A 25,346-nucleotide genomic window follows, 5' to 3' on the forward strand; every position below is an offset into this window, starting at 1 on the left:
AATATATAAAAATATAAATAAATATATAAATATATATATATAATAGTCATTATAAAAAAGAAGCAACCATAGAACTATAAAGACTTACTGGAAATTTAGGAATATGATGCCTGAAAATAAGGAAAATGGAAAATAAGTGCTGGGATAAAACCTGATGAAATCTCTTAGAAATTGGGATAAAAGAAAACTAGGAACATATAGAAGTAAAGTTTAAAGTCTTAGAAGATCCGTCGGGGAAAGCTAAGATCCTTCAAAAGGAGTTTAAGAAAGAGAGAAGAAAACAAAATATCCTAAAGAAATTATTAGAGAAATAATGAAAGAAAATTTATTTTTTAGCCACATGCATCTTCAGCTTGGAAAAAAACCACAGGATGAAGAGCATACAATTGAAGTAGAAAGACCACAGCTATACAGAGGCTCATGAAGGGTAAAGAGGAGATTTTTGAATGCTTCCACTTATTGCTTCCAATAAATGAGAATTCAACTTCTTATAAGAGATACCGTATGCTTGAAAACTGAGATCTGAGAAAAATATGACTACAACCTATAAGTAAACGCCCAGCCAAACTCTAAAGCAAGAGTTCAGGTAAAATAAGGACATTTTTGGGTATGTAAGCTATAGAAAATGTTACTACTCATTGATCATCCTCTGAAAGACTTGCTTATGTAATTTATCCAACAAAAAGAACAAAGGAACTCAAGAAAGAGGTAAAAAATGAGATCAATGAAACAGAGTACTTAATATATTGTGTATTGTGATTATGTAGCAGAGTATCTCTGTTTTATAGGAAATATAAACTAAAGTATTCAGAAATGATGGAACAAGAAGTCAGCAACTTTCTCTCAAATTGTTCAGGAAAAGATGCTTTGTATTGTATCTTCACCTTTTCTGTAACTGCATGATTATTTTGAAATAAAGATAATTTAAAAAATAAAATGGAGGGAAGAAATTGTAAAAGATAACAAGAAAAAAAAACAAAGTCACCTTTCAGTGAGTTCCACACCCTTCTATCTGAAATTCCACCCCCGTTCTCCATTCCTCAGCTCACCTTCCTAATATCAATCAACAATCGACTTATTATTATATATTTAATAGTTTATGTTTCTTGTCTTTTGCCTCTGACTCAACAACTGGTATAAACCTTTCATGAGGAACTCTGTTCACTGCTATATTTCCTGAACATGGAACACTGCCAACACATACTGACTTCTTGATAAATATTTGTTGAATGAACTGAAAACCTTATTATTACAAACAGTAGCAATAAGTAAAATGTCACTCTTCACAAAATATTATTACTAAAACTGCCACTACTCAATACTGCTTATTATTAGAGATTACCACATTTCACTGCAATTTTTACATCGAAAGAAATCCAGTTAAACACCAGTTGTAAGATTATTGTCCCCTGGGATGTTCTTGAAATTAAGATGTCTTTTGTAATCTATCCAAGGGAAAAGTATTTTAAATGCCAGTTTTCAATTTTAAGAGTATTGAGAAGGTGATCTGACACATCATTCTTTTTAATGAACAAGGTATAAATCAATTTTAAGATAAGTACCAAAAAATTTTTAAAAAGAAAAAATAATGCCAGAATATCAGTTATGCAGTTGGTCTAGAATGCAAATTAGAACAGGGAGTATGAGGGCTCCAGGAAGAATTTTGTCAAGGAGAAAAATAATTTCCTATCATAAAACATATGATTAAGAAGCTACGTGACCTTAATGACAAGGTGAACCCATAGCATTATGACAATAAATGAAGAAATAAAAGGATTATGCTGCCCCCACCCCTCTATTCATTATTTATGTGCTCTTTCCAACAGCAAGTTAATGACAAGGAAACCACCTCCACTCAGTGTCCAATCACACTACTTGATTCTGCAGGGAACTACATTTAAATAACTATAATATTGTAAAAGCTGGTTTTGGATATTTTCTTGTTTTTTGTTTGTGTTAAACTATAGACAAAGCAGAGTTACTTTTAGCTATAAGAAGACAAGTGTTATAAAATTGTGCATAATAAAATGTGAGATAATGCCTAAAATGGATAAGTCAAGAAATAAAGGTTATATTTTATTTGAAGACACAGATGAGCAAACAAAAACACTTAATAAATAAAAATATGCCTCTTAGAGCCTGGGGGTGTGAAAGTGTGGGGATAGGGAGGCGAAAAAGCAATTTAAGTCAGCAAAATTCTTCACTCTTCACAATAGAGGTAGTAGTGAGATCTAGTTTTAACTGATAAATAAATGAATGAAGATAAACATGATGGATATAACCACCAAAAGAAACAGAAATGTTTGTAACTGATTATCAGAAATTAGGAGTATGATTGAGAGCAAAGGACAGTTTATTTTTAATCTCGAATCCTCTCAGTTTGGATAGGAAATGTTAAATTACATACGATGCACACAGAAAAATGTCAGGCACAATGAGCACTGGCTATGAACATTGGTTTCCCCTACAAGTGGAAGGGAGGGATAGTGAGCAAAGGACTTTGTTACACTCTTCGTTAAACAATTTTCAATTACTTTTATTTTGCAATGAGTTATTTTGTTTTTGAATAAAATTATATACAATGATATGTATATGCTATTATAGAATAAGAAGGGGAACAGGCAACAGACTTCAATGCTGCAGTGAGGCTAAATCAGATAAAGAACCAAGATTTCATTGGATTTGGTAATTTGGAGGAGACCTAATGAGTGTAATTTTCGTAGAGTGTAGAGACAGAAGTAGAATTGCAGGGGAACTCTCTCCTCAATGAGAAGTGAAAAGGAGTAGGGGCAGCAGGTATGAATATAAGCTAATTTAAAGAAGTTTTGATGAACAAGGAAACAGAGAGCATGTGGAAGCTAAATAGCTGATATTTAAAGATTATGGTTACCTAAAGATCACTTAGATTGTAAAACAGGGTGTGTCATATCTTATAAATGAAAGGATCATGATATACAAAGAGCATTGAATGGTCATCTAAAGGTTTTCCAAGAAAAGATAATATCTGTATCTTTGTTCTCCTTTTCATTTTGGATGAGGCAAGCATCAAAAACATTTTCTTGGAGGCTTATTTTACAATTTTAAGGCTCTTCCTATCTCCCTCCCCTCAGCCCACCCTTTCAGAAATGCCTTTTGTAGACACTCACTACAGAGGCTTCTGAATCTATTAAGACATAATTATGTTTCTATATGGTAAATGTTTGAGGCATACTTGACTATATCCTTCTACCCATACATATTTCTAAAAATGCAGGGAAGTATCAGTGGGCTTTTTTTCATTTGATAAAGTTATGTCATATTAAGCTTTGGTCGTTAGCCGTTATGACAAATATGCCAAATTGATAAACCATCTATCTTTGCCATCCAGAAATTATTGAATGAAAGTTGATTGTCCTTAATAACTAGGTCATTTCCTTTGGTGAATTCAAGGCACCTCAGTCATTTCAATTCATTTTTTTGGGCCAGATCCCAATTTGTTTTTTTTTTTTAATTTTCAATTTTTTTTTTTTTCCAAGACGGAGTCTTGCTCTTTCACCCAGGCTGGAGTGCAGTGGCACAATCTAGGCTCACTGCAACCTCCGCCTCCCGGGTTCAAGCAATTCTCCTGCCTCAGCCTCCTGAGTAGCTGGGATTACAGGTGCCCGCCACTGTGCCTGGGTCATTTTTGTATTTTTAGTAGAGATGGGGTTTCACCATGTTGGCCAGGCTGGTCTCGAACTCCTGACCTCGTGATCCACCTGCCTCGGCCTCCCAAAGTGCTGGGATTACAGGTGTGAGCCACCGCACCCGGCCCCAATTTTTCAATTTTTAAAAATTGACATAAAATTATATGTAATTAGGGTGCGAAACATAAAATTTTGATATATGCATACATTGTAGTATGACTAAAAGCTAATTAATATACTCCTTATGTCATATACTTATCATTTTTGTGTGAAAAGTGTTTAAAATTCACACTTTTAATAATTTTGAAGTATACAATACATTGTTTTATTAACTGTAATCACCATGTTGTACAACATATCTCCTCAACTCATTCCTCCTGTCAAACTGAGATTTTATATCCTTTGACCAACATCTGTCTAATCCACCTCTCTGTCCCCAGCCCGTGGTAACCTCCATTCTCCTCTGCTTCTATGAGTTCATCTTTCAGATTTACATATAAATGAGATCATGCAGTCAGATACCCACTTGTGCAGCCAGATAGGGTCCAGGGAAATAATCCGAACTCATTTTATGTTGCCCTCTATCCTCTGTTCTAACTTTTTCTTTATCCTCTGTGCCATTCCTCAACTTATTTACATCAGGTATCCTAATGTACTTAGTATCTTGCCCAGTGCCTCTGCAACCCAGCTTCCAGCAAACATAATCTTGAGAAAGATTCAGAGAAATTCATCCAATCTAAATGAAGCCAGTACAATGTCTGGCCACATTAGGCTTTCGATAAACATTGAATGCATGCATGAGATGTAAATGCTAATAATGCTTCTTCTGTCTATTGATTGTTGGGTAGCAAACTACCACAACACTGAGTAGAAAAAGAACCATTTTAATATGCTCACAGATTCTGAGGCTCAAGAATTCAGTAAGGTACGAAAGGACAGCTCTTCTCTTCTCCATATGTTTGGGGCTTCAGCTGAGATGACTCAAAATAGCTGGGTGACTCCAGTGGCAGAGCTGGGACAGCTGGGACTTGGCGGTGCCCCCTGAAGATGATGCTTGCCTCCCCTCACATGTCTGGTATGTGACTTGGGATGACTGAGGGTCAGGTTCACCTGGGATGGCCAACAAGAGTGCCTACATACGGCTTCTCCAGTATGGTGGCCTCAGGGTGGCAGCATTTCTTACACAGCAACTCCAAGGTGCTCTAAGAGTGACTGTTCTCTGAGTCCAAAGTGGATGTTGCAGGGTCTCTTATTATCTAGTCTTGGGACTCACATAGCATCATATCCAACATACTTTATTGGTTAAAGCAGTCAAAGTGTTTATCATAACTTAAGAAGGGCCAGAGACCCCTTCTCAATGAGAAGAGTATCCGCAAATTTCTGCCTGTGGTTAAAACAATCATGATGCTTAATCAGTTGCCTAAGATGGTTTGCCTCTTTACAGAAGACAGGAAGTGAAAAAAGCAAATAGAGAATAGTAGAATTTCAGGCATCTGCAAGCAGGTAGAAAAAGTAATTTTAGGGAAGGGACTGTTTTAGTGATGCATAAATGACTCAAGAAAATGTCAAGATGACTCTCTTTAGGATTTTAGTATGGTTTTACCTATTGAACTTTTCCGGAATAACGAAAGTATTGTAATACCAACTTCTCTGTTTCTTTATGCATTTTTAAATGTTTCTTCAGGAAGTAGAGGAGGAGACAGGAAAGAAACTAACTTTGATTGAATTCCTCCTGTGTTCCAAGAACCCAAGGAGTGCTTTTGCAGTTTATGTGTGTGTTAATCAATGCTGCCAATAACTCCAGCACAGAATCTGAACAAGAATGTATGGAGTAAGCTTACACATACCGTCAAATATCTTTAGGAAAATAATGAAGTTAAAATGTCTTTGGATTTAATGAAAAAAAAAAACAAGTTATAATCTAAAATGTGTATACATATGTACATTATTTGGGGCCAGGAGCAGTGGCTCATGCCTGTAATCCCAGCACTTTGGGAGGCTGGGTCTACACAGGGTCAGGATCATAAATATCACTCACTTTTGCTCATCTTGTCCCACAGGAAGGTCTTCAGGGGCAATAACACTCATGGAACTGTCATCTTCTGTGATAACAATGCCTTCTTTTGGAACACCTTCTGAAGGATTTTCCTGAGGCTGTTTTGCAGTTAATCTTTCTTATTTCTTTTAAATAAGCAGGAGTACAATCTAAAATAATGACAAAAAGGATAGTATAGTGAATACATAAACCAGTAACATAGTCATTTATTATGATTATCAAGGATTATGTATTATACTTAATTGTATCTTCTGGACTTTTTAAAGGCTAGTAGTACAATAGTTTGTTTACATGGGCATCACCAGAAACATGTGAGTAATGTGTTGTGTGACTGTGTCACTAGGTGATGTCACTAGTCACTAGGCGACAGGAATTTTTCAGCTCCATTATACCCTTACAGGACCATCGTCATATATGCAGTCTGTTGTTGACTGAAATGTCATTATGTGGCACATGACTATAAACCAGTGGTCACACTGTAGGATTTTTCTTCAAATTGACTAGGCTATCCCCTAGTCAGGAGACTACAAGCCTGTGAACTCTCTCAGGGAAGAAGGAAAACCCTTGAGTCTCCACTTGGATGCTTCAAGTAAGGTCTCTTCCTAGCAGACCTAGAATTTTTCCATTTATGTATCTTCATAGACTGGTCAAGCAGCATCTTCATAGACTGGTCAACTATTTCACTTCTACAGACCCAGAGATTAACTTGCCACCACCACATATTTCTCAGGTCAAACAGTCTTATTACTTTCTAACACTAGAGTTGATTATGGTTATTTTTCACACTTCGTCTCTGACAAAGCACCATCCTTGGCCTCTTTTACATAGGAATCTTGTCATTACCACTGATATCAGGGAAGCCAGCTCCATTGTAGCATCCTTCAGCATCATCTTTAGTACACAGAGAATGGCTACTGCAGAGTTCTTCCAGGTGCTGTTGCCTTCACCTATTGTGTTAAAGGAATGCTTGGTTAAGGAAATAGCCTTCAGGAACTCTCAGATAGGTATGGTTAAGTGCTAGCAGTGGTATAGGAAAATACTGAGTCAACATTGTACATTTCTAAGGAGAGCTAGTGAGCAGTTATACAAGAAAGTTATACTTGTTATCAGTTTTCAACCTCCTTCCACTGCAGAGTTTATAAAGATTAACAAGAATTTAGCAACTATTTATTGAACACTTACTGTGTACCAAGCACTGTGCCATGTGCTGGAGATTACAAATAGAATAAAATGTGGCTCCTACATCGTGAGTCTCATGAGGGGCTTATTTGCTATATTGTGGATTCTGCAGATCATAGAATGTGTAAAATCGGTTGGCCCCAACATAGTTAACAATTTAAGGACATCACTTCTTTCTTTTCTCATAATGTGTGAAACTTACAAGGTGAGAGTTTTTTTTCTCCCTCATCGCTATGTTTTATTTCTCCTTTTCTTTGGTGTCATGCTGGCTTTTATCAAATTATTAAGAACCACTGTTTGAACTTGCAATTATGACACTGTTAAATGCCATTAGCTCATCTTGTTTTTAACTACCTAAACCAATAAATCTGACATAGTCTGTGGATCTAGGAACTTGTAAAATCTCTTTATTTCTATGGATTTGAAATTCAAAAAACATAAAAAAAAACACCTTTCTAAATGTCTTTGCATTTGCCTTCTAGTTCCCTAGCAACTGTGAGGTAGACAGATGGCAGGATGGCCTCAGTTTGGGGCCATGTTCATATGATCATAAATCAATTATTTTTTAAAAATAAAAAATATTTCTTGAGAGCTATACCTAGTGATAGAAACTAAAGGATGCTTTTTTCTTCTTTGTATATAACCTTAATGCTTTTCTGTAGGTGTTCTGATTACTTCCCAAATAGCCACTAATATGTCTATATTTTTGTTCTAAATTCTTTGTCTGATATACTGACTTTAGTTAAGAGAAAATAAAAGTAATAAGGATAGATAATTTTCTTTCATCAATAATATCTATACCTTTTTTCTGAGAATCGCTATAGCTAGAATTGAAAGCAAATATCACAGGCTCTCTTTAGCACTTCGAATGGTAACTGATAACATGACTTAATTTGTATCTTATTCTCTGTCTCTGTCTCTCTTTTTCCTCTTCATCTCAGAGACCATCTGGCAGGAAATATTGTTAAATTGCCACATCCTCATGTTATTTATAGTAAAGCTCTAACCTGTAGTCATCTGGCTTGGTATTTGATAAGTAAATTCCAATTTTGAGACTTCCAGGAAAAAAATAACCAATTTCTCTAATAAAAATTTTACCTCTTACATATCAAATGCTCTTGCTTTCATATCATTGCCTTTTATGGACTTAAGTTAAATCTATCTTGAAACCCAGCCATGAAATGTCAGCAATGATTTTAAATTCTGGACAATGTCTGACTTTCCCTTTCCTGATGCAATGACCCTTGGGCTCCTGGACTAATTTTACTGGTGGAAGAATTTTTGGGGAAGGGATGTTAAAAAAATGAGGAAGGAAAATAATTAGGTAATATTTCAAAATAATATACTACTACATAAACCCATGCCTTATAATGTTGGGATAGAAAGTAGAATATAATATTACTCTATATAAAGGAATCTTGGGGCCTCTGTATTAGTTATCTAATGCTGTGTGACAAGTCAGCCCAAAACTTAGAGGCTAAAAGAACTGAACATTTATTATCTTTTATGGTTCCTGTGAGTCGAATTTGGGAGTAGCTTGGCTGGGCAGTTCTGGCTCTGTGATGTCTCATGAGGTTGTGGTCATCTGTCAGCTGAGACCGAAGTTATCTAAAGTTTTAACTAGACTGGAGGATCCATATCAAAGGTTGCTTTCTCACATGACCTACAGGCTGGTGCTGGCTGTTGGTAGGAGGTCTCAGTTTCTCTCCATGTGAGTGTTTCCATTGGGCTACTTGAGTGTCTTTAAGATATGATGACTGTGTTTTCTTGGAGCAATCCAATAGGTCAGAGTCAAAGCTGCAATACCTTTTATGACTTAACTTTGGAAGTCATACATAGTTACTTTTACAGTATTCTGAAGATTGAGTCAATATGGGAAGGGAATACACAATGAAGTGAATACCAATGGAGTCTGCATTTTCACCTTCAATGGTCACATCTCTTCCAAATAGAAAATACATTTCATCCTCTCCCAAGAATCCTCAGTTTCTTCTTATTACAATATCAGCTTGAGGACTAGGTTCTCGTCATCTAAATCAGGTCCAAGTGCACATGAAGCTCCTTATGTGTGTTTCTTCAAGTACAGCTCTTCAAACACAATTCCTATCCCTCTGAAGACCTGTGAAGTAAAGAAATTATTTGCATCTCAAATCCACTCAAAATACAATAATGGAAGAGGAATAAGAAAAGTACTAGGAACTTTTCCATTCAAAAAAGGGGAAAGTGGGAGGCACATAGGAAACATTGGTCCATAATAATTCTGAAATCCAGCAGGATATATGCTAGCACTTCCTTGATAAGCTCTCATTCCTATGAGCTCTGGGAATGAGTCCCACTGTGCTCTTGGCTTTACTCCCTAGGTTCTTTTATTCTCTGAGTCATCCTTCCTTCCTATTGCCGATAAAAGGTAGCCTGTGTTTTTTTGTTTTTTGTTTGTTTGTTTGTTTGTTGTTGTTGTTTGTTTTTCGAGATGGAGTCTTGCTCTGTCACCCAGGCTGGAGTGTAATGGTGCAATCTCGGTTCACTGCAACCTCCACCTCCCAGTTTCTAGTGATTCGTCTTCCCCAGTCTCCCAAGTAGCTGGGACTACAGGTGTGTGCCACCACACCCGGCTAATTTTTGTTTTTTTAGTAGAGATGGGATTTCACCATGTTGGCCAGGCTGATCTTGAACTCCTGACCTCAAATGATCCACCCACGTCAGCATCCCAATGTGCTGGGATTACAGGTGTGAGCCACTGTGCCCGGCCTAGCCTGTGTTTTAAGCGAGTAGTTTTCTCAGCCTGTTTTCTGCTTGTAGCTATTTTGGGGTCTAAAAGGTCCTTTTCATTTTATCTTTCTTTCTGTTAATGTGGTGTGCCATATTTACTGATTTGCATATATTAAACCATCCTTGCATCCATGGGATGAATCTGACTTTGTCATTGTAAATGATCTTTTAAATGTGCTCCTGGATTCAGTTTACTAGTATCTTGTTGAGAATTTTTACATCTATGTTCATCAGGAATATTGGCCTATAGTTTTCTTTTTGTTGTTGTTGAGTCCTTATCCAGTTTTGAAATCAACATAAATCTGGCCTGATAAAATGAGTTTGGAAGTTTTCCTTCCTCTTCAATTTTCTGGAATAGTTTGAGAAGCACTGGTAGTAGTTCTTCTTTAGAACTAATTAAGCAGTGAAGTTATCAGATCCTTGGTTTTTCTTTGATTCGAGACTTTTTATTATTTTTATTTTTATTTTTTAGCTGCACCAAAGGCATATCCTAGCTTTATTAAAGGTCCTGCGCCACAGAGTCAACATAAAAACACAAAAAGTCTCATCGGTTTAATAACAATGAAGAACCCCAAAAATGGAAAACGAAGGGGGCAGGGGAAGAGACCTGCTCATGGCACTGAGCCTGGCCACAGGGTCCGCTGGTATTGCTCTTGCTATGAGGTCGGGGGGACAGTGATTGTCCTGAGCCACCATTCACCTGGGTCAAGGACCCTCACTTCTTCTGGGGTGTGCTCAGCTTCTGCATGCCCCGGATCTTGTCCAGCAGGTCAGGGATGAAGGCCTCGGTGGGTTTGTAACAGTCAACCAGCAGCTCCTCGACCCTGGCAGCCTGGGCATCCTCACTCTCCATGTCCAGGAGTTCATCCACGTCAATCTCCAGTTCTGGGATCTCCTTTTCCTGGCAGTCGGGGAGTTGTGTCAGCTGCTCCATGATCCACTCCTCCAGGTTGAGGCACTTTGTAGCTCCTTGTGGTAATACTTGATGGTGACCTTCCCTTGGCGCCTCACTGGGCCCTTATCGTCTGTGCCGCCCGGGCCTCCTCCTGCGGCCCTGGGGGGTGGGCTCTGAAAGTAAACACGTGGTCCTGAGCCACCACTGCCCCGCCCTGGGGCCAGGGCCGCCGTCTGCCATGGCGGCTGCCAGGGCCATGTACGTGCATCAGTCCCCTCACTGTGTCTGGACGCCAGCTGCCTGGCTCCTGGTGGCTGGCCCGGGTTAGCCTGCTGGCTCCGCTCTGCGCAGCTCCACGGAGATTACAGTGGGGGTGCTGGGGGACAGCTGCAGCATGCGGAGCCCCCAGGTCTGCCCTTGCTGCGCCCCTGACTTTTTATTACAGAATCAATTTTCTCACTCTTTGGTCTGTTCAGATTTTCTATTTTTTTGATAATTTAATCTGAGTATGTTGTAATCCAGGAACTTATCCATTTCTTCTATGTTATCAAATTTGTTGGAGTATAGTTGTTCACAATAATTCCTTATGTGTCTTTGTATTTCTGTGGTATCAATTGTAATGTCTAATTTTTAATCTTTTATTTTTTTGGGGTATTTTTTTCTCAGTCTAGTTAAAGTTTCTCAATTTTGTTTTTTTAAACAAACATTTCTTTTTGTTGATCTTTTTAAAAATTAAAATTTTAAGTTCAGGAGTACACGTGCAGGTTTGTTACATAGATAAACGTGTCATGGGGATTTGTTGTACAGATTATTTTTCACCTAGGTATTAAGCCTAGTACTCAATAGCTATTTTTCCGGATCCTCTGCCTCCTCCCACCCTCCACCCTTCCATATGACGTGATGTGTGTTGTTCCCCTTGATGTGTCCATGTGTTCTCATCATTTAGCTCCCACTTATAAGTGAGAACATGCAGTATTTGGTTTTCTGTTTCTGTGTTACTTTACTAAGGATAATGGCCTCCAGCTCCATCTAGTTCCTGTAAAGGACATGATCTCATTTTTTTTATGGCTGCATAGTATTCCATGTTGTAAATGTACCAAATTTTTAAAAAATTGAGATGGAGTCTTACTTTATCACCCAGGCTGGAGTGCAGTGATGCAATCTTGACTCACTGCAACCTCTGTCTCCTGGGTTCAAGCAATTCTCCTGCCTCAGCCTCCTCAGTAGCTGGGATTACAGGCATGTGCCACCACGCTTGGATAATTTTTGCATTTTTAGTAGAGACGGGATTTTGCCATGTTGGCCAGGCTGGTCTTGAACTCCTGACCTTAGGTGATCTGCCTGCCTCAGCCTCCCAAAATGCTGGGATTATAGGCGTGAGCCACCGCACCTGGCCTGCACCACATTTTCTTTATCCAGTCTACCATTGATGGGTATTATGTTGATGGCATATCTTTGCTATTGTGAATAGTGCTGCAATGAACGTATGTGTGCATGTGTCTTTATGATAGAATGATTTCTATTCCTTTGGGTATATTCTTAGTAAGGGTATTGTTGAAAGTGGGCTGTTGAAGTCCCCTACTATAATTGCATCTCAGTTTCTCTCTCCTTTTAGGTCTAATAATATTTGCTTTATATATATGGGTGCTCCAGTTTGGGTGCATATATATTTATAATTGTTATATCATCTTGTTGAACTGATCTCCTTATCATTAAAGAATAACCTTTGCCTCTTTTTACTATATGTTACTGAAATTCTATTTTATCATATATAAATATGACTATTCCTTCTTGCTTTTAATTTGTGTTTGTATGGGATCTTCTTCCACCCCTTTATTTTTAGTCTGTTTGTCTTTACTGCTAAGGTGAGTCTCTTGCAGGCAGAATATAGTTGGGTCTAGTTTTTTTTATTCATGCAGCTACTCTATATTTTTTAATTGAAGAATTTAAACCATTTACATTAAAGATTATTGTTAGATAAGAACTTACTCCTGCCATTTTGTTAATTGTTTTATTGTTGTTTAATAGATTCTTTACTCCCACTTTTTATTTTGTTGTATACCTTTGTGGTTTGGTGTGAAGCTTTCTCCTTCCTCTTTCTTGTTTATTTGCTATAATTGCTTTCTTTGTGGTTATCACTGGGCTAACATAAAGAGTCTTGCCAAAATAGACTATTTTAAGCTGATAGCAACTTAACCTTGGTCACATAAAAATTCTCTGGACATTTTCCTCCTTTCAATTTAAATTTTAATTGCCTAATTTTTCTCTCTATTATATGTTCCCTAGCCACTAATTGTAACTGTTGTTGTCGTTGACCACTTTTACTTCAAACCTTTATATCAGAGAATTGAGAGATTTATATAGCACCATTATATCACTGTGATATTCTGAGTTTGATTTATGAACTGGTTGCTACTGGTGAGCTTTATACCTTCACGTGTTTTCATGGTAGTAATTATTGTCCTTCCATTTTCAGTTGTAGCACTCCCTTAAGCATTTCTTGTAGGGTTAGTCTAATGGTGATGAATTCTCTCAGGCTTTGTTTTTCTGTAAAGGTCTTTATTTCTCTTTTATTTCTGAATAGTTGTGTTGGATATAGTATTCTTGACTGAAAGAATTTATTTGTTAAACTCTCTTTTACTACATCATTCACTCTCTTGGCCTGCAAGTTTTCTGCTAAGAAATCTGCTAATAGTCTCACGGAGATCCCCTTCTATATCACTTGATGCTTTTCCCTTGCAGCTTTTAGAATTATCTCTTTGTCTTTGACTTTCGACAGTTTGATTATAATATGCCTCAGAGAGGATTTTTTGGAAGTTGAATCTAATTGAGGAGCTTTGAGTTTCTAGAATCTGGATGTTTGTATATCTTCCAATATGTGGGAAGTTTTCAGCTATTATTTCATTAAATAGGTTTTCTGTGACTTTCTTTATTTCTTCTCCCTCTAAAACTACTATAATGAGAAAGTTTGTGTGATTAAGGGTATCCCATAAGCCCCATAGGCTTTTTAAATTCTCTTCTATTCTTATTTTATGTTGTCCCTTCTGAGTTATTTCAAATGATCTGTTTAAGTTCAGAAATTCATTATTCTGTTTAGTCTGTTGCTAAAGCTCTCAATTGTAGTTTTTATTTCATTAACTGATTTTTTTCAGCTCTGATGTTTCTGTTTGGTTCTTTTTTCATGTAATATCTATCTCTTTGTTAAAATTCTCATTCAGATAATGAATTGCTTTTCTGATTGCATTGAAATATTTGTATTCTCTTGTATCTCACTGAGTTTTATTAAGATCATTAATTTGAAATTTTTCAGGCATTTTGTTAATATCCTTTTTTTTGGAGTCTGCTACTAAGGATTTACTGTGTTTATTTGTTTTGGGGGGCTGTCATGCATGCTTCCTTGGTTCTTCATATTTCTTATGTCCCTACATTGATCCGTGTATCTAGTAGAATAGTTTCTTTTTCCAATTTGTGAATTAATTGTCCTAGGGATAGACTTCTTCCTGTAGACACTTTCTAGAGTTTTAGTGAGGTACGGTGCATTGACTTTGGTTTTGGGTGAGTCAGTAACATGGACTCCATGAAGTTTCTTCAGCTGTAATCACTGTCAGTAATTTCTGTGATTGCCTTACTGGTCTAGGCTGCATGAGTTTATGATGGTGTTGGTGTAGTTTTGCTGTAGGTGGGAGTGCTGAGCTGGTTGTTGGGTTGGGTATGTGTAGGCACAATGGGCCAAGAGGCTCTGTCAGGCTTTCCAGGGAGGTGGAGTTCATTACTGGGATAGCTGTGAGACTGAGCTGAGCCATGTGTAGACACGGCAAGGCTGGGAGGTCCTACGGTAGTCTGTCTAGGGGTGGGCCACTCTCAGACAAGCTATTGTGCCAGGCATGGGTTTGTGTGAGTACAGCGAGGTGGGAAGTCCTGTGGCTATCTGCCTGTAGAGGCAGCATTGCTGCGGGACCAGCTACTGGGTTAAGTGAAGGTTCATGCTGGTGTAGTGGAACCTGAAGTTTTGCAGCAGTATGTGTGCAAGGATGGCTCTTCCACCATACCAGCTGTCAGGCCAAGAATGGATTCAGTGTGAGTGTAGTGGAGCGGAGGGCTTGCAACAGCCTGTCAGGGAAGCAGAGCCGCTGCAGAACTGGCAGTCAGGTTAGGTGTGGGTGCACATGAACTTGCCGTCCAGCCAGGTGTACAACATGAGTTCATGTGGGCAGGGCATTGAGCTAGCTGCATGGTAGTATTCTCACTGCACAGGTATACCTGTTCCCTTAGGGGTGATGTGCTGTATGGACTTGAGCACCAGAGTCTTGGTTGTTCATATGGTCTGGAATCCAGGTAGCCACGGTTGTGGTACTACAGGCACCCATGTGAATGTGACAGAATGATCATGGAGCCTCAGGGATGGAGAGAGTCCATTGCTACAACCTCCCAGGACAGGACACACTCTAGCCACTCTAGCAGTTAGCCATCCTTAACAGCCTAGGGGCTCAGTGTAGGCTCCTACTCTGCAGCAGTGTACTTGTGTGAAATTTTGGATACTCTTCAAATTGGATTTAGGGCCTATGAGGACTGGGGGATTCTCCTGTAGCAAGGATTGCTGGCATTTGTGGCAGCAATAGGGACTGCTGGGGATATCCAACTTACATTTTCCCTGTAAGAAGCTACCCTGACTGCAAACCAGTCCTGGTGAAGGAGACAGTGTGGCAGAGGCAGAATATCTCACTTCCTTCCTGATGGTTCTGTCCTGGGCTTCTGTGCTCCACAGGGATTTTGCTATTTCCCTGGTGCTTTTCAGCATACTTCCTAAGTCTCACTAGTCAAAACATTTTTATTTATTTTGTTGTTTTGGTCTGTTTTTCTTGGTGGGAGGTGTCAGGTAACTCTAACATCACTCCTCCCATTTCATTTTTGATTTACATAGAGTTGTTACAATGTCCTAACTGATATTTACCCTCTTCCTATTCTCTTCAGTGTTAAAGGTTTATCCTTTAGTATCATTTTATTGGGGTCTCTAGGGGGAGAAAAGAATTATGTTCAGCTCAGTTGCCATCTCAAACCAGAACTTTTTTTCACTTTTTCCAATTTTAAATTAAAAGGAATTATCTGCTCTTGGGTTTCCATATAGATTATGAAACATTTACTTATTAAACATGCTAATTATTTTGGGGGGAAAATAGTGAATTATAGTTCCATGTCATATGCCTCTGCCATAGAATTAGGTGATCTCCATCGCTAAGTCTAAAACTTGTATGTCTTTAAATATTGGTAATTGGCAAACATATAAATATATCACTAAACTCTTCTTTATCTATTTCCTCTTGTGACTGTAATTTAATTTATTAAAATGTTACAACACAAAAATCTCCACAAAAACATGCAAAATGACAAATGTGTAATATCTTAATGCTATGTGGATCCAGATGTATCTAAGACACAAAGAGCTAATGAGAGGTAATAAACATTTATCTCCAGTTAAAGGGCTAATATTGGACAAAACTTAGAAGGTTCAATTCAAATAAGCGTTCAAGTGCTTGGCTGCTGATCCCAAACTTTATCTGAACCCTCTGAACCTCTCAAGTCTTGAAAACTGGGCTGGACATCTTATGAGAACAACTTCATCTAGGGTATTTGGGTATGTTTGCTTCCAGCTGGAACCCAAAACTGCAGAGAGAGGCACAAATGAAGAAAAATTGAGGGAAACTCTGAAGTTTCTCAAACCTCAGAAAGAGACTTTGATTAAATTTGGAGGAAAGGTTAGCGATTAAGAGCAGTTTCTATTTTAGCTGGCTGCATTCATCTACCTTTAAAAATTATATTTTAATCTTCCAAATGAGAGGTCATTAATATTAGTTTGTTTTCGGTTGGGCAATATAGTGAAACATTCTTTAAAACAGTGAATTTCTGCTTGTTTTACATGTCTCAAGTAAGAATTTGACAGCAGATAATTGCTCCAGAACGGCAGAGTGCATATTACTGATCATTAACACGTGCCTAGGTGTGGTTTTAGGCACCAAACCAAATGGAGCCTTATGTCAAGTTAAAGGAACACCATTAAGATATAGTCCATTGTAAGCATGGAGAGTAAACAGGAGTAAACTACTTTCTATTGTATTTTCTTTATCAATTCTGTGAGGAGAACATATATTCAAAATATATTTTATTTATTTTCTCTTTCTTTTTTTCAGTTTTATTTCACTTTAAATATGCCAATTATACTTGAGGAATCATGGTCATAAAAATATGTATATATAGAAAACTGATATTTGTTAATTGCCTGCTGTGTACTAACTATGTGTGTATAATCTCACAGCAACTCTAAGAGGTAAATATTATTCTACAAATTTCACAAGGACGGAGGTTCAGAGGTTATTGATTTGCTTAAGCTTGCACAGTTAGTGTGATGGCTAATTTTATGTGTCAATTTAGCTGGGCCATGGAGCACAGATATTTGGTCAAGCATTATTCTGAATATTTCTGTGAAATTCACTTTTAAATCAATAGATATTGAGTAAAAGAGATTGCTCTCTGTATTGTGAGTGGGTCTCCACCAATCAGTTGGAAGTCCTGAAGAGAGCAAAAACTTAACCATCCCTAAGCAAGAGGGAATTCTCCCAGCAGACTGCATTTGGACTTTCTCTGCAACACTGGATCTTCTTGGTTCTACAGCAGAATTGCCTTTGGTCTTAAACTGCAACTCTTTCCTGTATCTCTAGCCTGCCTGCCTCCTTGTTGATTTTGGATTCATCAAGCCAAAATCATATATAGTCATATAATCCCATTCTTTTAAATAAATCTCTTTCTATATATATGTGCATGTATCCTATTGGCTCATGTTCCTCTGGAGAACATAGATGAATACAGCTAGTAAATGGGAAAGTCAAGGTTCAGATCTAGTTCTGTTGATTTCAGAGCACTACACCAAATTTCATTTTATATAAACACTTCTTTCATATTGGCTTACTGAGTTGTAATTCAATTTGTTACTGTATATTCACATTTATGTTCATATACACACATGCACACCTGTATACGTGTTAATGTATAGTATTGAGTGTGGCCTTGTTTACACATGAATAAGACACAATTTCAGGTTTTGCTATGAAACTCTAAAGAGAATGATAAATTTTAACCTCAACATGTAATCTTGTGAAGACAGATTCACTTCACCATATTTACTATTGTATAATTGTAATATTTACCTCCTATAGTATTATTTTTGCTGTATATATCCCTAAAATCTGCTGAAATTCTAATAACTGATGACATTTTTATAAATTATCCCAAAGTTTTGGTTTTACTGAAGATACTTTTCTAATTTTTACTGTTAAAATAATTGTAATTCTATTTAATTATTCAGTTTTCATTTACTCATGACTAGCAACTGAAACATCTAAAACAAAATAACTATATAAAACTATAAAATGAAACAACAGTAGCATTGAAGAATTACATGTAAATTCTTCATGTAAACTTTTACCATATTAATTTATAGTTTTTTTAAGTTTATAGCTTTTACCTTTTTAATGTATAATGTTACCTGGTATATTTAATCTTCTATTTCTTTCTAATGCAGCTACTTGCTCATTTGGACAAAAAATGGACCAGGCTTCCAATGATTAATTAACACATGTACAATGATTCCTACTGAGAGTCAGGAAACTTGATCTTAGCATCAATAATATTCATCTCTGTATGCTAGTTGTGAAAAAAGAATTATGTTCTGAAGACATTATATTTATCATTCTTCTTCAAGCCATATAAGCAACATATAACTTTGTAAATATTAAGGTCAAAAGAAACATATGTCTATAATTTATTGGCGTTGTCTCTAAAGGTGATCTCTCATCCATGTTCCTATAAACCCTTGGGTAAGGCAGGAACAGAGTCTATGAAATTCAGGATTATGAGCCATCTTTTTTAAACAAAATCCTTTATTGATGAAACATAGCTCACAATCAAAATCTTACCCTTGAAAATGATTGTAAATTATTCAGTTACATTCCTTTATTTTGTAGATGGGGAAACTGTGGCCCAGGTAAGTTAAATGACCAACCCTGATGACTCAGCTGGACTAAAACAAGTTTGCCTGATGTCTAGTGCGTGTTATATCTTCCCTTGAACATGTGACTTTCCTTATGAGAATAGTCCTAAGAAATTCCAAAATATATTTCTACATTACTTGGGGCGCTCAGAATGTGAAGAGTGAACTTTTAATATATGACTAAATCACTTATTAGCATGTTCCTATTCAGCATCAGAGCTTTCTACGGTAACCACTCGTGTGTGCTAATTTTAAGGCTTTAGTGTTCAACAGCTAAATGAAGCTACTGGCAGCTTTTTTGGTGTGTTTTTAAGCATTTTAAGGTATTAGGAACTAGGACATCCCAGAAATTCTGTCTTTCTTTCTTTGATGTAAACCTCCCTTATTTAGTTCTTCTTTTAGGTGTTAATCTCTTAATATGGGACTGCCCTTTGCATTGGGGTTCCTTTTTATAAAAGCTATCCATCTTTTTCTTTTTGTCTTCTAAGCGATAACACAAATGAGGTGCAAAACCTCCTCCTCTCATGTTTTGTTATTATTCTAAACTGCAAGTCAATATCGTCTGGAACATAATCAAATTTTATTTTCATTGCCATAATAATCAACTGTTTCCAGGGATTTCAACATTTTTTCCTGGCTTCACCCTATTGCTAAAAGGGAATTGTTCTTTTACAATGACTGCCTGTCATGCTTAATCACAGTTTTTTTATAGTGTGAGATTCATAAAAGAACAGGAAGACAGTTAAACATTATAGAATTTCCTCATTTGTCCTCTTCCTCCTTAACCTGTAAAGATAAAAGAAAATCATGAGTATGTTTGATAAAATGTACTGACAATAAGAGTGACATGAAAAATCTCATTATTATTATTACTTTTTATTATGACAAAATTTTATTGCATATTTTGGTTTAGGCCCTGTTTCCACATGGGTCTGCCCATTGCTAGTGTGGAACTCTAGAAGGAATATGGTCTTTGGAAATGAATTTTAACTTTGCCACAAGCCAGCTGTGTGAGCTTGGGTAAGTCACTTACCTAGTCAAGGTCACAGTTTCTTAATTTATAAAACTGTTGGCAATAATGCTTTTATTTCATGGTCATTGTTAAGTATTAAATGATTTAATGTACATGTGATATAATGATATAATGAAAGGATGTAGGTATGATGAGCCTGGCACATTGCAGGACTCTGTAAGTATTAATTTCATTTTCATTTTAATCTTTACTACTGCCTGTAATTTTAGGATTTATGACTCTGGTCCAATATGGGCCACCCACCTGAAGGCCTTCTAGTCAATCTCTCATAGTCTTTGTACACTGACAGGTGGAAGCTATTAGGGCCAAATTATATGCTTGAAAATGAATAAGTTTATGCTTATTGTCCCTAATTAATTTCTTCTTCCATTAAATTATTATAATGCTTAGGATTAATTAATTTACTCTGCTAAATTTACCATAGTGAAAGAATTCTGTGATTGCTACCACAGGAAAGCTCTCTAGTGAGGTTAGAAGATGGTTAGGCAGTTTTGTTTGCTTAAGAAAAATGAGCAAGAAAATTTTGCATAATGCCTTTTGGAGCAGTCTTATTCTTCATAATTGCCTGAGATATTTCAAGGTGCTTTGCTATAAATCTGAAGACTTAAAAACATTGTTTTACAGTCTGGCCCACTAAGAATAATGACCTCTCCTGTTCCTTGTTTTTCTGGGTGATTAAGGGTTTCCTGACTGGCCCCAGGCCATCTGCCATGACTATTTTTTTTTCTTCAGATTTAGAACCATAATGTCAAAAATAATCTCTTACTCTGAGAGATTTTGCTAGCCCCAGAAGATAGAAAGTGTTTGCTGCGTGTGCTCCAACACCACATGAAAAATTGTGCAAATGATGGTTCTTGTTGATTTTATAAAGCAGTCCCATCATTTATGCTCCTTAAACTAAATTAGGTGTAAATTATTTCAAGGAGGCTAAAGTTCTTCCCTGTGTTCCTATGAGGATAATTTCACAAATACACAGCACGTCCCTTCAACCACAGATTTTGGGCAGAGAGAAGGAAACAAGAAGAAGGAGAAGAAGAGAGCTATCGCCTGGGGCCAGTGCACACTCTCCACAGGGGGTTTCCAGCATGTGGGTGATTTCTAACCAAGCTGACATAAATCAGACTGTGCAGAGCAGTGACATTCTGATCACTGCACTGGGAGACACCTGGATAGTGTTACACTTCCCTCATTAGGAGGCACTGGAGTTGAGCTGGGGAGGTGAACTTTTAGCTGTATCAAAATAACAATGTGGGAGCAAAGAAGATGCTGGGATGAGGGGGCATACCAGTAATAACCCAACCTTTACAGACAGGTTGTGTGAGGCGTTCTGAACTCGCATCTTTGGAAATAATTTATTTACAAACTGAACCCAGTAAAATCAAGAAGAATTTGTTCCATGAATGCCATTGTTTAAATCTTCTGGCTGAGACTTGAGCCTCTTTCTTTCTCAGCTGGGACATTCTGCTGCAGTGGCCTACACTCCCAAACCTTGTTAAAACTGAGTTCATAATGTGTGATAGACATGTTTGTTAGTGTTCTGGAACATTTTATTCAATCCAAGTTACTTATTAATTACAGCTATTAATTTTTAATAAAAATTAGATGTTAAAATTGGATATTAAAACACAAAATTGGATGTATAGGTAAAAAAATACAAACCTTTCTAAACCAAACACAAATTTTAAATATAGCAGAGAACATAGAGAAGAAAAGACTACGGTAAGTACAACATAATAAATTAATTATAAAATAATATGATAGAATTGATACCAAACATATTAGTCATATAAAAATATGACTGGGTTGGCCGGGCGCGGTGGCTCACGCCTGTAATCCCAGCACTTTGGGAGGCCGAGGCGGGCGGATCACGAGGTCAGGAGATCGAGACCATCCCGGCTAAAAAATGGTGAAACCCCGTCTCTACTAAAAATACAAAAAAATTAGCCGGGCGTAGTGGCGGGCGCCTGTAGTCCCAGCTACTTGGGAGGCTGAGGCAGGAGAATGGCGTGAACCCGGGAGGCGGAGCTTGCAGTGAGCCGAGATCCCGCCACTGCACTCCAGCCTGGGCGACAGAGCGAGACTCCGTCTCAAAAAAAAAAAAAAAAAAAAAAAAATATGACTGGGTTTAAATCACCTATTAAAGAAAAAAATATTTTCAAATTGGCTGATAAAGCAAAATACACCTCTATACTGTATAAAAAAGACATACCAAATACACACAGAAATTTTAAAAAGATAGAACTAAATATATGGGCAAAGAGATACCAGTCAAGTGGAAAAAATAAAAATCAGGGGGTTAAATCTTTATATCAGATAAAGTAGAATTAAACAAAACTACATACTGTATGCACTTACCTTTAGCCCAGCAATCCCACTTCTGATCATTTATTCTGAAGGTACACTTCCAACCATACAAAATTACATATGCACAAGATTATTCATTATAGCATTGTTTATAATTGCAAATAGTTATAAATGTCTAAACACAGGAAATTGGTTGAAAAACTTTACATATACACAGCAGAATACAATACAGTTGTCAAATAAGAATGAGGAGGAGCTTTATGAAGTGATAGGAAGTTATTTCTATAATGTGTTTTAAGAGAAAAAACCAAAGTATTAATCTCCAGAGTAAGCTACCTATTATATAAGAAAGATGGAGGAATAAGGAAACAAATATGTATCTGCTGATTTTTTCAGAAAGAAACATAAGGATAAGTCAGAAAACATTGAAACTGGCTACCTGTAAGAGAGGGAGTGGTGGAAGGGATGGGGAGGGAAGAACACTTCTCTGAGTATACCTTTGTGTACACCTTTGACATTTGGAAGCATGTCAGTATTCTACATATTCAAAATGGAAGTAAAATCAACAAAGATAGGGAAAATACCTGGAATGGAATACAAGCAGTATTTCAAATATATAATTGTATCTCAGATACATGGCATAACCACACCAAAAGGGGAAAAAGAACTAATCCAGATAATTTGAGCACAGTACTTGGCCCTGTATCTTACATTCTTTTAGTAGGTTTCTTTTTTTCTAGTTACATGAGTGTAGAAATTCTGAAACCCTATTTGTTTTTATTACAGAATTCGACAAAATTGAGTAAATGTATTGATGGTGTTGAGAGCCAGGGTACTCACAGAAGGGAGATGCAAATATAGAATAAGGATGGTGAAGAACCTTATGAGTTTGGATTAAAATTGGTTGTAACAAAATGACTTCAGGGTTTCTAACGAAACATAATATCTAAATGTAATACATAATCCTAGACTGGACCCTAGAATGAAGAGAAAAAGTATATTATAAATGATGTTGTTCGAACAATTGGCATAATGGCAATATGCACTATAGATTTTTTAAAAATTAGATAAAAGTATTGTATCAATGTTACACTTATTGCATTTGATAATTATATTGTAGTTATATAAGCAAATATTCTTGTTCTCAGGCAATACATGCTGAGGAATTAAGCAAAACTTTCAGAGAAAGAATAATAAAATACATTTTGCAAAATGTTAAAAAATTGGATAAAGAATATTTTTTAAACATTTCTGTAGGTTTAAAATTATTTCAAAATAATAAGTCAAAAAGTTATGTATCACATTCTGAATTGTTCCTTGTTACCTTGCTTGTCTGTATCATTATGTTGTAATTTTCCCATGTTTTTCAACCTTTCTACCCTTTCTATGATTTTGTGAATACTTGGAAAGCACATCATGTGTTCTTACTCTTCAGAGTTTGCTATCTTCTGATTATTTTGGTCACATTTTGCTGATTTAATTTGGTGTAAATATAAAGCAAGTATTTGTGAAGTATAATATCTTAATTGGCCCCAAACATGTTCTCATCACACACATTTTTAAAGAGAGAGAGTGAAATCTTGCTTCATAGAAAGTGAATCACAGCTGGGTGTGGTGGCTTACACCTGTAATTGAAGCACTTTGGGAGGCTGAGGCAGGCAGATCACTTTAGGCCAGGAGTTCGAGACCAGACTGGCCAACATGGTGAAATCCGATCTCTACTAAAAATACAAAAATTAGCTGCATGTGGTGGCATGTACCCGTAATCCCAGCTACTCAGGGGGCTGAGGCAGGAAAATCGCTTGAACCCGGGAGGTGGAGGTTGCAGTGAGCCAAAATGGTGCCACTGCACTGTAGCCTGGACAACAGAGCAAGACTCCATCTCAAAAAAAAAAAAAAAAAAAAAAAAAGAAAGTGAATCTCATTTGGAAATCTGAGGGCAAAACTGACCTATGTGATATTTTAATAATTTTCACATTCTATCTTATTCTTATTTCCCAAATGGTTTATATATATATATATATATGACTTATGTTTGAAAGTTCTTATAGAATGCTAACAGCCATTAAAAATATATGTCAGGAGGAATCAGAGGCAAAATATATTTTTGGTAAAAATATGCCATATTTACATCTGTCTAAAAGAAAATATGTAGGTTGCTTACCAAAATACTGGATTTAACATCTTACATAAAACATTGGGCATTCAGTGACTGACACTGTCATGAAGTGTCAAGGAGTTAAGTAAAGGGAGGACCCGTTGTCAATTATGACTATAGGAAGGTCATAATTTTATTTAAAGAAAAGAGGGAGCAGAGCTGTAGAAGGTCGATATCAGAGTGTTCACTGAGAGGCAAAGAAAAACAGGACCAGATTAACAAGATTTACCTGTGGACACTAATAAGAATTCAGAACCAAGAAGGTGAAGTGTCAATAGATAGCAGACTGCATGGACATGAAATGTGATCTTCATAGGAAAAGGACGATTTTCATACCCACATTGATATGGGTTACCATCAGTTCCTTAATGAGGAGAAACTGAAGACAAATATCAGAATGCTGAATATTACATAGTTTATATAGAAGTAAAAAATGTACATAGTTATTATTATAGAATATGGATTTCATCATTATGAATAAATCCTTTAGTCAGTCTCATAAATTTCCTACTTAAAAGCACATGTAAATATTGTATATGGCGCTTGCATTGGACAGAGCATGCTCTATAGACAAAATTCTGGTCCTTAAATTAACCAAAACTAAGTAAGTGACCTTTTCAGAATATGTATTTTCTGCATATTGTATGTTATTCTCTGAGTATTTATTTTAAAACTTGACTTGTTTTAAAATAAAAATTTTGATGTTTTTTGCATTGTCTTAAAATTGTTGACAATGGTCTAGTGAAGCCTTTTCAGTGTTCTATCCTTTATGAGAAATAAATAAATGAAATAACACAATTGATAGGACAATGCTTAAAAGTGTGTGTGCATGCATGTGTGTGTGTGTTTGTGTTGCTAGAAAGTTAGTGTGACTGGCTTTATGACATGTAATTTAAAACAGAATAAAAGCATTCCAATAATTAGTATATTTTGCATATGGGCATTCCTTTGCTTACTAATCTAGAAGATTCCTATATTTTATAAATAAAAGCAATACCTGGAACCAGTGGTTTCTTGGGTAAACTGTGCTTTCTTTGATTGTGCAGTGAAGTATATTCTACTTACTTTCTTTTGCAATTTATTCGATGTCAAGAAATGTGATGGCGGAAAGTTTAGCGCATAAAAAGGAAAAAAATAATAATTGGAAAACAGCAACAAATTCATTTTGTCCTCCACATTGCCCTCCACTTTTCTCTCCCTGTCTCTTCATTTTTTAGTTCTGATTTTCATGACTACATACCTTCCT

The 25,346-nt window shown here is 36.6% G+C and overlaps 1 protein-coding gene and 1 pseudogene across 8 annotated transcripts in view; one reads left to right on the plus strand and one right to left on the minus strand.

The window, feature by feature from the left end:
• The window catches only part of TRMT11 (tRNA methyltransferase 11), a 285,804-nt gene extending 260,997 nt beyond the window's left edge, over positions 1 to 24,807 (plus strand). For 5 of the 8 annotated variants that reach the window (XR_007059327.1, XR_007059304.1, XR_007059310.1 and 2 more), the window contains one exon: positions 19,519 to 24,807. The gene's annotated coding sequence lies outside the window, so the exon portion shown is untranslated. Of the gene's footprint in view, positions 1 to 336 lie in introns of all 8 variants that reach the window. The other 3 variants (XR_007059309.1, XR_007059293.1, XR_007059311.1) reach the window with 2 other exon arrangements.
• PPP1R14BP5 (protein phosphatase 1 regulatory inhibitor subunit 14B pseudogene 5) lies at positions 10,193 to 10,795 on the minus strand (annotated as a pseudogene).
• Positions 24,808 to 25,346: the final 539 nt, after the last annotated feature.

This window comes from Homo sapiens, chromosome 6 (assembly GCF_000001405.40).
Source record: "Homo sapiens chromosome 6, GRCh38.p14 Primary Assembly".
NCBI classification, from domain to species: domain Eukaryota; kingdom Metazoa; phylum Chordata; class Mammalia; order Primates; family Hominidae; genus Homo; species Homo sapiens.